This window comes from Homo sapiens, chromosome 12 (assembly GCF_000001405.40).
Source record: "Homo sapiens chromosome 12, GRCh38.p14 Primary Assembly".
Classification (NCBI taxonomy): domain Eukaryota; kingdom Metazoa; phylum Chordata; class Mammalia; order Primates; family Hominidae; genus Homo; species Homo sapiens.
The window spans coordinates 19,451,970-19,464,288 of record NC_000012.12 but is presented as its reverse complement, the minus strand read 5'-3'; the positions used below and the strand labels follow the sequence as shown (position 1 = coordinate 19,464,288).

Here is a 12,319-nt window from a genome sequence, read left to right as displayed (position 1 = left end):
GATCTACAAAAGCCAGAAAACCAACTTGCTAAGATACTTCACACTAAGTATCTGACATATGGCTTGGGGGAGAAGACTGGGTTACCAAAGTAGCCCAACCACTGAGCTGGGTTTTACACTGAAAATACCATATGATGGACACAGTTAGTTAACAGATCATAGGTAAGTATAACATTTTACTGGTTACTCAGACATCATACATATTAACTCTAACAAGAAGACAAATGTACAATTGCTATACTTATCAAGTTTGAGTAATCAAAAAACTGCTGACACATTATAATATATTGTGACAGGGATGAATATGTCTTAAAAGAAATTTCGGTCACACACGGTGACTCACGCCTGTAATCCCAGCACTCTGGGAGGCCGAGGTGGGCGGATCAACTGAGTTCAGGAGTTCGAGACCAGCCTGGCCAACATGGCAAAACCTCATCTCTACTAAAAATACAAAAATTAGCCAGGCATGGTGGCGGGCACCTGTAATCCCAGCTACTCGGGAGGCTGAGGCAGGAGAATCACTTGGGGCAGAGGCTGCGGTGAGCTGAGATCACGCCACTGCACTCCAGCCTGGGCAACAGAGTGAGACTCCGTCTCAAAAAAAAAAAAAAAAAAAAAAAATTCAAGTATGACATCACTGCTTAAAATGTTAGAAACGTTGACCCGGTTGGATGTTTAAAAAAAAAAGATCAATACTATACTCTAAATATCAACAGAACCTTGGAAACAGTTACCCACTAACTTAAACCATGATGATTTTTACTGTGTTAGTTATCTGTTCTTCAATAGTGATGCCAGGCTGATAGGAAATGTGTGGCCTAATATTAATAAATTACCTGCCCTTACACTGTGACATTAATTTCTGAAAAATGCACTAAGTGTGATAACTATTCAACAAAATTCTAGGTAAAGTTGAAACAATGTATAAATTAATATTTTGGCACATTACTTTTGGCTTACCCAATTTGCTTAGCTCTTTATTCAGTACCTAATAGAAGTTACATGAACTGACACAATTAAATGTATTCCTGAAAGGACATATAGGTCAATACTAACTAATCAGAACTTTCCATCTAAATCAGCTCTGACAAGACCTGGGAAAGATGATCAATTCTCACTCACAAATAATGAGTTCAGGTTGTTATTTAATAGAATTGCATACACTAATCCTGGTACCAATAGTCTCCCCAGTTAATTTAAGCGTCAGGAATAATTTAGGATCCTCTAACAAAGGAAAATCAAGAAAGTGCTAATTCTAAATGTTCTCAACTCAAAACATCAGAACCCTGGAATACACTGTATTCATTAATAATACTGTCACCTACTATACTTTTAAAAGTCTAATTTCTTCAAAATAACGTATCTAAAAACAAACTAAAATCCAGCACATACCCTATTTTTATTTGATTCTATCAAGTATATGGGAAATAATTATTAAAAATTCACTTGAAAAAACTAAGCCTGTGTAAAAATAATCCCAAATTACTTTCAGCAAAAAAGCCTAACTAGCAATTATAAATTAATAAAACTAACGAAAACAGGGAGCGAAAAAAAGAAATGACAAAACCAACCCCTCCTCGCTGACCATCTACATGTATGGAACGGATGTGATCTGCCAGATCTGGGCTAGAGTTGAAGCAAGCCTGGCACTGGTCCCAACAACAATTATAGGCAATATTTTTGCTTGAAGAAGTAGTGCTTCCTTGTCCATTCATCATTGCTGGAGTTGAACGCCCACTGGAAATTGTGCTGTCTACATCCATTATAGTACTGCTTATGCTACAAAAGAAGAAAAAAGGCTGTGTTATTCCTAGAAATTCACTAACATGAATATGATCTTATAAATATTTAATTAAGATTACCACTTGACATTCTGCTCCATGTGAACAAAGCATAGTAACCATATTCTCCATGAGAAAACAACAATGCTTTTAAATTAATTAGTTGGCAATGAAGTACAAATCAAGACAGAAACACGACAGTACCTCAAAATCAGAAATGGAATAATTTAAGCAACTTTTGGCAGGCATGAACTCAATACTACATCTTACAGAAAACAAACCACACCCACACCCCCACACACACAGCTTATCACATCTCATCCCTTCTACAGTTCAAAGAAGCATAAGAAAGTAAGAGTTTCCAGCTGTAAATAATTCACAATCAAAGCATTATCTTTATAGCTCTGCAAATCACTTGTTGACCTGAAATCTCTTCTATTCATTAATCTGAAAATATAACTGCTGCCACATCCTACTTCTTTTCATGTCAAAGAATTGGGGAAATTTTGCAGTATTTTCCCAGCTAAATAAAAAAGCAGAAGAGAGAAAACTGGTCTCTGATTTTTCTAAAGTCCAAATAAAAAATCTTTTCCTAGCCCTAAAATTTTATTTTTTTAACTCATCTCTAGCCATAAAAAAAAAGACTGAAAATGCCAATCAATCCCTTTTACTTTTTATTTACTAAAGTATTACATATGGCTGGACGCAGTGGCTCACTCCTGTAATTCCAGCACTTTGGGAGGCCGAGGCGGGTGGACTACCTGATGCCAGGAGTTTGAAACCAGCCTGGCCAACATGGTGAAATCCCACTGCTACTAAAAATACAAAAAATTATCCGGGTGTGGTGGCAGGTGCCTGTAATCCCAGCTACTCAGGAGGCTGAGGCAGGAGAATCTCTTGAACCCAGGAGGCGGAGGTTGGAGTGAGCCGAGATCGCACCATTGCACTCCAACCTGGTCAACGAGCAAAACTCCGTCTCAAAAAATAAAATAAAATAAAATAAAGTATCACGCCATTGCACTCCAGCCTGGTCAACAAGAGCAAAACACCATCTCAAAAAATAAAATAAAGTATTACACAGTAGTAACTCTTTTATTTACTAAAAAAAGTATATACTAGTGGTCAAAATGCTCAAAAATTCACATCTTAATAAAATGTATCACACTTCCGCCTTCATTTTAAAAGCAATTCACTTATTTTCTTTTTTCAAAATCTTCTCAATAAATAAATTACATGAAAGTCACTTCAATCATAAGGGTCAAGAGAAAGAATGTTTTCAGATTAAATCTATGAAAAGGTGTGTATCTGCTTGCAATTTAAGAAACAACACAAGTCAAGTTGTGAAAATTATATTAACTTTAAAGAGGTATGTTTCCCTCCCGCCAAGTTTTTATCATGGAAAAGTTCAAAGACACAAAATACAGCTAAATCTGAATTCAATTAACATTTTACCCTATTTGCTATCTGTAATCTGTTTCTCTGAATCATTTTAAAATTGCAGGCATCATGACAATCAACCACAGTATATACCTTCTTAAAAAAAAAGAACATTCAGGCCGGGCACAGTGGCGCATGCCTGTAATCGCAGCACTTTGGGAGGCCGCAGCAGGCAGATCACAAGATCAGGAGATCGAGACCATCCTGGCTAACATGGTGAAACCCTGTCTCTACTAAAAATATAAAAAATTAGCCAGGCATGGTAGTGTGCGCCTGCAGTCCCAGCTACTCGGGAGACTGAGGCAGGAGAATGGTGTGAACCCAGGAGGCGGAGACTGCTGTGAGCAGAGATAGCGGCACTGGACTCCAACCTGGGCGACAGAGCTAGACTCTGTCTCAAAAAAAAAAAAAAACTTTCAGGCCGGGCGTGGTGGCTCACGCCTATAATCCCAGCACTCTGGGAGGCCGAGGTGGGTGGATCACAAGGTCAGGAGTTCAAGACCAGCCTGATCAAGATGGTGAAACCACATCTCTACTAAAAATACAAAAATCAGCTGGGCATGGTGGCACACGCCTGTAATCCCAGCTACTCGGGAGGCTGAGACAGAGAATTGCTTGAACCTGGGAGGAGGAGGTTGCAGTAGGAGGTTGCAGTGAGCCAAGGTAACGCCACTGCACTCGAGCCTGGGCGACAGAGCGAGACTCTGTCTCAAAAAACAAAAAGAACGTTCACCTATATACCAATACAACCTATTCACTCACACCTGAGAAAATTTACATGAATTTTGTTAGCTTAAGTAAGCTTTATAATGATCTGTGTCTAACATCAAATGTACCTATTGTGAGGGGTGGGGGGATGTTAAGACAGGGTCTTCACTCCGTTGCCAAGCCTATAGTGCGGTGGTGCTATCACGGCTCATTGCAGCCTTGACCTACCAGGCTCAAGTGATCCTCCCACCTCAGCCTCCTGAGTAGCCGGGCCTACAGGTGTGCACCACTATGGCCAACTAAATTTTTTAAATTTCTGTAGAGATGAGGTCTCTTTATGTTGTCCAGGCTGGGCTCAAGCAATCCTCCTGCCTTGGCCTCCCAAAGTACTGGGACTACAGGCATTAGCCACTGCACCGAGCTAATTTTTCTATTTTTTTGTAGCGGCAGAGTCTTGTTTTGCTGCCCATGCTAGAAACGTATCCATTTTTAAAAGCAAAGATATTTTTGTAGGATGCTTCAGATATGAAAAATGTCTCAGGTTTTCCTTTAAAGGATATTCTAGTATTTAAGCTCATCTATCTACCTACCTAGTTAGTTAAATGCAATAAATATATATTTACCTGCCTAGTCAATATAGATTCTAAAGTGCAACTCTAAGGCTTCATTCTAAAACTCTGTAATCTCTGTAAAACTCTCAAATGTGAATCAGCTCTTGAATATCTGAATATACATATATTGTTTGTTGTTGCAAGACTAACCTTGGGTATGGTGGTTTTTCTATACCGAAATACATATTTTATTTAAACCCTAGAAATTTCAAGTTTCCCCCGGCCGGGCGCGGTGGCTCACGCCTGTAATCCCAGCAGTTTGGGAGGCTGAGGCGGGCGGATCACGAGGTCAGGAGATCGAGACCAGCCTGGCTAACACAGTGAAACCCTGTCTCTATTAAAAACACAAAAAATTAGCCAGGCATAGTGGCAGGAGCCTGTAGTCCCAGCTACTCAGGAGGCTAAGGCAGGAGAATGGCATGAACCCAGGAGGCAGAGCTTGCGGTGAGCCCAGATCGCACCACTGCACTCCAGCCTGGGCAACAGAGCGAGACTCTGTCTCAAAAAAAAGAAAAAAAAAGAAATTTCAAGTTTCATGAGGCCCTTAACCCTGAAATGGTTACCTATTTTCCCTATCACTTGCTTTAAATATTTTAAAACATTCAACTGTAAAGCACATACTTACATAAACTATACTAATTTAACTCCAAGGCAAATACTAATAATTCTAAGTGAACAACCAATCATAACCAATTTATAAACAATCTCAGGAAAAGCAATAAAAACTCAATGTGATATGGAACAATCTCCAAGGTATAGTTAAGTAAAACACACACAAGTGCAGGGTAGTCATGATCCAATTTGCATACCTAAGTTGGGGAGGGAGACAGAGACATAGCTAGTCTCCAAGGGCACAGAAAGATATACGAAACCTAGTAAATATTTGGGGGAAGGGAAGAGTGGGAGAGAAACTTATCTTTCACTGTATATACCCTTTTATACCATTTTAACCATGCTGTACCTATACTGCTTTTATTAAAAAGTCCAAAATTAGTTGAAAACCAAATCGATTTTTTTTAACTGGACACAGTAAGGTTAAGAGAGATTTATATAGCTGCGAAACATCATTATGGAATCTGTCTGTCTACATAGTACTTCATGTACTTTTGCTTATTACCTTTGCCAAAGAAAAGGAACCATATAAAAAAGTCCAAAATCTGGTAACGGTAATCATTGTTGAGTCTATGTGTGATATCACACACTTGAAACAATACTTCATGTGGATATAGCTCCTCATAAAGACAACATAATGTAAATGTTAAGAGCATGAGCTTTGCCTACCACTGGGGACTAAGCTGTGAATACAATGGCAGACAAGGTGAGAGGCACGTCCTGGAACACTCAAGACATCCCACACAGAGTCTCCCCCAAGCTGAACAGGGCCAACAGAAGTTCTGCTTCACAACCCCTCTTAGGCTCCTCCAACTTCTAGGAAGTATCCAATCCTAAGCCTCTAGGCTCCCTTTTGGCCCCAGACCCATGCTGCCACCAGTGGTCCTCTCCATTCTCTCGACTGATGAAGGCAACAGACCTGATGCAACAGTAGAGGACAGAAAACAAATGACAGGTAACTTCTGATTGTGACAGGACCCTGAGCTAGATAGCAATTTCACAGAAAGCAGTGCCCTTCCTCCTATAATACGTTATGTAACAAGAGACAATCCACCTAAACTTATAGTATTTCTAGGACCATACATATGTTAAATTTTTTCACACAGTTAATTCTCCTTTTCAATGAACACCTACTGATTTCATGAAATGTGAAGACCTATACACCCTGATATTTGGAAGAATACCTAAGCCAGACAATACACTCACACTATGCAGATAGCTTAGATAATCTAAAGCAGTGTTTCTCAAACTTTCATGTGTATACAAATCAAATGCAGATTCTGCATTCAGTATTATTAACTGCAGATTCTGATTCAGCAGGTTTAGGGTAGGTCCTGAGATAAAGCATTTCTAACAAGTGCCCGCTTGATGCTGCTGTGACATTTTGACTAGTAGGAACCGAAAAGATCTCTCTGACTAGCTTTTTTTTCTTTTCACAATGGGTTTGCCGCCAGAACACAGGTGTTGTGAAAACTACCCCTAAAAGCCAAAATGGGAAAGGAAAAGACTCATATCCACATTGTCGTCATTGGACACGTAGATTCGTACAAGTCCACCACTACTGGCCATCTGAACTACAAATGTGGTAGCATCAACAAAAGAACCATTGAAAAAATTGAGAAGGAGGCTGCTGAGATGGGAAAGGGCTCCTTCAAGTAGGCCTGGGTCTTGGATAAACTGAAAGCTGAGCGTGAACGTGGTATCACCATTAATACCTCCTTGTGGAAATTTGAGAACAGCAAGTGCTACGTGACTATCATTGATGCCCTAGGACACAGAGACTTAACCACAGAGACTTCATCAAAAACATGATTACAGGGACATCTCAGGCTGACTGTGCTGTCCTGATTGTTGCTGCCAGTGTTGGTGAATTTGAAGCTGGTATCTCCAAGAATGGACAAACCTAGGAGCATGCCCTTTTGGCTTACACACTGGGTGTGAAACAACTAATTGTCGGTGTTAACAAAATGGATTCCACTGAGCCACCCTACAGCCAGAAGAGATATGAGGAAATTGTTAAGGAAGTCAACACTTAAATTAAGAAAATTGGCTACAACCCCGACACAGAAGCATTTGTGCCAATTTCTGGTTGGAATGGTGACAACATGCTGGAGCCAAGTTTTAACATGCCTTGGTTCAAGGGACGAAAATCCTCCTGTAAGGATGGCAATACCAGTGGAACCATGCTGCTTGAGGCTCTGGACTACATCCTACCACCAACTCATCCAACTAACAAGCCCCTTTGCCTGCCTCTCCAGGATGTCTACAAAAATTGGTGGTATTGGTACTGTTCCTGTTGGCCGAGTGGAGACTGGTGTTCTCAAACCTGGTATGGTGGTCACCTTTGCTCCAGTCAACATTAAAACTGAAGTAAAATCTGTCGAAATGCACCATGAAGCTTTGAGTGAAACTCTTTCTGGGGACAATGTGGGCTTCAATGTCAAGAATGTGTCTGTCAAGGATGTTCGTCATGGCAATGATGCTGGTGACAGCAAAGATGACCCACCAATGGAAGCGGCTGGCTTCACTGCTCAGGTGATTATCCTGAACCTTCCAGGCCAAATAAGTGCTGGCTATGCCCCTGTACTGGATTGCCACACGGCTCACACTGCATGCAAGTTTGCTGAGCTGAAGGAAAAGATGGATCGCCATGTTGGTAAAAAGCTGGAAGATGGCCCTAACTTCTTGAACTCTGGTGATGCTGCCAACGTTGATATGGTTCCTGGCAAGCCCGTGTGTGTTGAGTGCTTCTCAGACTACCCACCTCTGGGTCGCGCTGCTGTTCATGATATGAGACAGACAGTTGCAGTGGATGTCATCAAAGCAGTGAACAAGAAGGCTGCTGGAGCTGGCAAGGTCACCAAATCTGCCCAGAAAGCTCAAAAGGCTAAATGAATATTATCCCTAATACCTGCCACCCCGGTCTTAATCAGTGGTGGAAGAATGGTCTCAGAACTGTTTGTTTCAATTGGCCATTTAAGTTTAGTAGTAAAAGACTGGTTACAACAATGCATTGTAAAACCTTCAGAAGGAAAGGAGAATGTTTTGTGGACCACTTTGGTTTTCTTTTTTGCGCGTGGCAGTTTTAAGTTATTAGTTTTTAAAATCAGTACTTTTTAATGGAAACAACTTGACTAAAAATTTGTCAAGGAATTTTGAGAGCCCCTAAAAAAGTTTAATGAGGAAAAAAAAAAAGATCTCTTTGACTAGTATTGTTACCCAACTGAAACTGATGAGACCATCTAAGAAATTGTTTCATATGGTAAAATGGTAAACCAAATTTTTAAGTTTAAAAAACACCTACACACACGTTGTTAGAGATGTCAATGGAATATTTAGGGAGCAACCTGAGATATTTTCAACATCAACAACATTCTCCTTTTCCTCTTTTCCCTTAGTTTAGAAACTATCTAGCAGACCAGTTTTCCACCCAACAGCTAGAGCGATCAACTGTATGATTTTATAAAAATGGTTTCCTTTGGAAATTCGAAGCCTGTCTCACTCATACATCCAGAACAGCCCCAACTTTGAGTCTTAAATTACTTCTAGGCAAGTATCTGCTTGGTGGACGTGACCAGGGCTGACAGGGTTGCCAATACTGAGAAAGTTATAAAGATCACTTTGCTAAATGACAAGGTGCATGAGCATAGGAAGCAATACATGGATGCTTATGTTACCATGACTGAGAAGGACAAAACTATGGTCTTAAAGTAACTGAGAAAAGTTCACTAACATGGTTTCTGATTACACATTGCAAATAATCTTTAAGAAACTACCACTTGCCAAGTGTTGTCTTATTACCAAATAGCAACACAATTATCTTAAAGGGCTATTGAAATATGACTTCTGCCAGGCGCAGTGGCTCACGCCTACAATCCCAGCAACTTGGGAGGCTGGAGCGGGAGGATTTCTAGAAGCTGGAAGTTCAAGAGCAACCTGGGCAACATAGCAAGACCCTGTCTCTTAAAAAAAAAAAAAATTAGCTGGGCATGTTGGTATGTGCCTGTAATCCCAGCTACACAGGAGGCTAAGGTGAGGATTGCTAGAAGTCCAAGGCTGCAGTGAGCTATGATTGTGCCACTGCACTCCAGCCTGGATGACAGAGCAAGATTCTATCTCATGAAAAAAAAAAAAAATCTGAGAACCACCAAAGCTTGAGCACCTCCCTAAAACAGATCAAAAGAATATGTTTCTAAACGGGAATACTTTTATTTTATTCTGAGGTTAACTGCTGAATTTGAAATTCAGTCTGAGGTCAAATGGATAGGGGCAAGCCTTATCGGCAGTCTTCTTTTCAGTTCTGTGAGCAAATTCATTTGTGTTGTAGCTCCTCCTTGGTAACTTTGGGTCGTTCTCCCCCCTCCACCCACCTGCCGTATCTTTGGTGAGGTCTAGCCTACTGAAATGTCCAACTTTATTTTTTTTAGTGTATGTGCCGCCAAAGCAAGCACTGTAATATCTAACTTTAAAGGAAGGTAGAGGACAAGGACTTGAAGGATTTAGAGTATATAACCTGAAATCAAGCATAATTTATTGACATTCAAAAAAACTAAAATCTACGAATTTCAGAATTTTCTATGAATACATCACTGAGTAAAAAGGCTACGGCTCTGCTGCACTGGTGTTTCTACCACCCTAATTTAAGCCTTCACATCTTCATTCACATAAAATCATGCTTGCAAATCGTATACCTTATACCTTAACCAATTAAAGACCTTTCCCCACAATTACTTTGTGAATCCTCCCTTCACTTAAGGGTCTAGCCAAGTGTGTGTGTGTGGTAACAATTAAAAGTTGACATAAAACAGTATTAAGAGTTCAGTGTGAGGTTCTGGTCACTTTTGCATTTGTGACAGGAAGTGAAAACAATTAAAGTCAATAAACAATGTTGTCTTCCAAATAAAACGTCCTTACTACTAATCCCTGTTCCTAAATCAGTAGAACTAATGTGGTCAGCGCAGTTGCTCACATCTGTTAATCCCAGCACTTTGAGAGGCAGAGGCGGCGAACGGCTTGAGCTCAGGAGTTGGAGATCAGCCTGGCAACATGGCGAGACCCCGTCTCCATTTTTAAAAAAGAACAAACTAAGGTACACATGGAGACATGGAGACTGTCCATATCTCCAAATCAGATTTGCAGAACCAAGCAGCCAAAACAGAATAAAGACATAAACTGGGGGCCAGGCATGGTGGATCAAGCCTGTAATCCCAGCACTTTGGGAGGCCGAGGGGGGGAGAATCACTTGAGCCGTGGAGGTGGAGTTTGCAGTGAGCTGTGATCCCGCCTCCACCGCACTCCAGCCCGGGTGACAGAGCAATACTCTGTCTCAAAAAACAAAGAAAGAAAGAAACTGGATGCTAAAACTGACATAAACATGTATCATCCACAAACACCCACTTCAAATTTAAATTCATTTGTCCGGGTGCGGTGGCTCACGCCTATAATCCCAGCACTTTGGGAGGCCAAGGCGGGTGGATCACCTGAGGTTGGGAGTTTGAGACCAGCCTAGCCAACATGGCAAAACCCCATCTCTAATAAAAACACAAAAATTAGCTGGGCATGGTGTCGCGTGCCTGTAATCCCAGCTACACAGGAGGCTGAGGCAGGAGAATCGTTTGAACCCAGGAAGCGGAGGCTACAGTGAGCTGAGCTCAATCGAGCCACTGCACTCCAGCCTGAGCAAAAGAGCAAGACTCCTTCTCAAAAAAAAAGAAAGTATATAGGTCAGGCACAGTGGTTCATGCCTATAATCCCAACATGTTGGGAGGCCAAGGTGAGAGGACTGCTTGAGGCCAAGAGTTCGAGACCAGCCTGGGCAACATGACAAGACCCCATCTCTACAAAAAAACTTTTAAGAAAGTACGTTAAGTCGGCCGGGCACGGTGGCTCACGCCTGTAATCCCAGCACTTTGGGAGGCTGAGGCGGGTGGATCACGAGGTCAGGAGATCGAGACCATCCTGGCTAACACAGTGAAACTCCATCTTTACTAAAAATACAAAAAAATCATCCGGGGCTGGTGGCGGGTACCCGTGGTCCCAGCTACTCGGGAGGCTGAGGCAGGAGAATGGCGTGAACCTGGGAGGCGGAGCTTGCAATGAGCCGAGATCATGCTACTACTGCATTCCAGCTTGGGCGACAAAGCGAGACTCCGTCTCAAAAAAAAAAAAAAAAAAAAAAGAACGTAAGTCTATAATAGTTTTTCACAGGCCTATTTATCAAACTAGGTAAACATTACAATGATACAAAGGAAATCCTAATCTAATCATATTAACAGGTAAACTATCATTCAGCTAACAGGTGATATTCCTTTCATCTATAAAACTGCCACTTATACTAGAAAGATTACACTATGTCTCTCCCGCCCTTATAATCAATTTCTTAAAGGGTAAAATTCAAAACATTGCAAAAGCATTTAAGAATCCCCTATATCTTAAGAACTCTGAAGTTGTACACCTAATGCACAACTCTAAGAGTAAAAATTCTTTACTTGAGTTACCATTTCTCGTCTCCATTCATTGGAACAGATTATAATTATTTGCCCTAATATTTAGTCTAGGCTTGACAAAGGGATTAAAAGTTAAAACAACCAAATGAAACAGGTACTTCAAGAAAACCATTAACAACAAAAAAAAAAGAAAAAGAAAACCATTAACAACCTTGCTTGTTACAGGTTATGACTATTAAGGGGAAAAAAGCAATTATGTAACCTACTATATAAAATAGCAAAAGGCACTCTAAATCTTGTTTCTACTTTTTATATTAACAGCTAACACAGCATTTGCTATATATCCTGCATTGTTCTATGTGCTTGTGTGAGATCGTATTTTTTTAAAGATGGCCACTTTTGGCCAGGAGCAGTTGCTCTTGCCTGTAATCCCAGCACTTTGGGAGGTCGAGGCAGACACATCACTTGAATCCAGGAGTTCAAGACCAACCTGTGTAATATGGTGAAACTCCATCCCAATAAAAATAAAAATCCCAGCACTTTGGGAGGCTGAGGTGGGCGGATCACTTGAGGTCAGGAGTTCGAGACCAGCCTGGCCAACATGGTGAAACCCTACCTCTACTAAAAATACAAAAATTAGCTGGGTGTGGGGGCGCATGCCTGTAATCCCAGCTACTTAGGAGGCTGAGGCAGGAGGATCGCTTAAACCCGAGAGGCAGAGGTG

General features: G+C 41.0%; 1 protein-coding gene and 1 pseudogene across 8 annotated transcripts in view, besides 4 other annotated features; one reads left to right on the top strand and one right to left on the bottom strand.

Annotated features, from left to right (window-relative positions):
• Positions 1-12,319, bottom strand: part of AEBP2 (AE binding protein 2) — a 118,156-nt gene that overhangs the window by 57,939 nt on the left and 47,898 nt on the right. For all 8 annotated transcript variants that reach the window (XM_047428299.1, XM_017018806.2, NM_153207.5 and 5 more), the window contains exon 2: positions 1,572-1,779. In XM_047428299.1, coding sequence (XP_047284255.1) covers positions 1,572-1,763 — 192 coding nt within the window. In that variant the 5' untranslated portion in view covers positions 1,764-1,779. The remainder of the gene's footprint in view (positions 1-1,571; positions 1,780-12,319) is intronic.
• Positions 4,903-5,426: an enhancer, noted in NCBI's record as "H3K4me1 hESC enhancer chr12:19611797-19612320 (GRCh37/hg19 assembly coordinates)". NCBI's record gives its function as "activates a minimal SCP1, AML or CMV promoter by ChIP-STARR-seq in naive H9 embryonic stem cells {active_cell/tissue: H9 hESC(naive)}" and the evidence as "EXISTENCE:reporter gene assay evidence [ECO:0000049][PMID:30033119]".
• Positions 5,782-5,861: an enhancer, noted in NCBI's record as "active region_6082". NCBI's record gives its function as "activates an Ori minimal core promoter by ATAC-STARR-seq in GM12878 lymphoblastoid cells {active_cell/tissue: GM12878}" and the evidence as "EXISTENCE:reporter gene assay evidence [ECO:0000049][PMID:35858748]".
• Positions 5,942-5,991: an enhancer, noted in NCBI's record as "active region_6081". NCBI's record gives its function as "activates an Ori minimal core promoter by ATAC-STARR-seq in GM12878 lymphoblastoid cells {active_cell/tissue: GM12878}" and the evidence as "EXISTENCE:reporter gene assay evidence [ECO:0000049][PMID:35858748]".
• Positions 6,502-6,551: an enhancer, noted in NCBI's record as "active region_6080". NCBI's record gives its function as "activates an Ori minimal core promoter by ATAC-STARR-seq in GM12878 lymphoblastoid cells {active_cell/tissue: GM12878}" and the evidence as "EXISTENCE:reporter gene assay evidence [ECO:0000049][PMID:35858748]".
• On the top strand, positions 6,580-8,238 carry EEF1A1P4 (eukaryotic translation elongation factor 1 alpha 1 pseudogene 4; annotated as a pseudogene).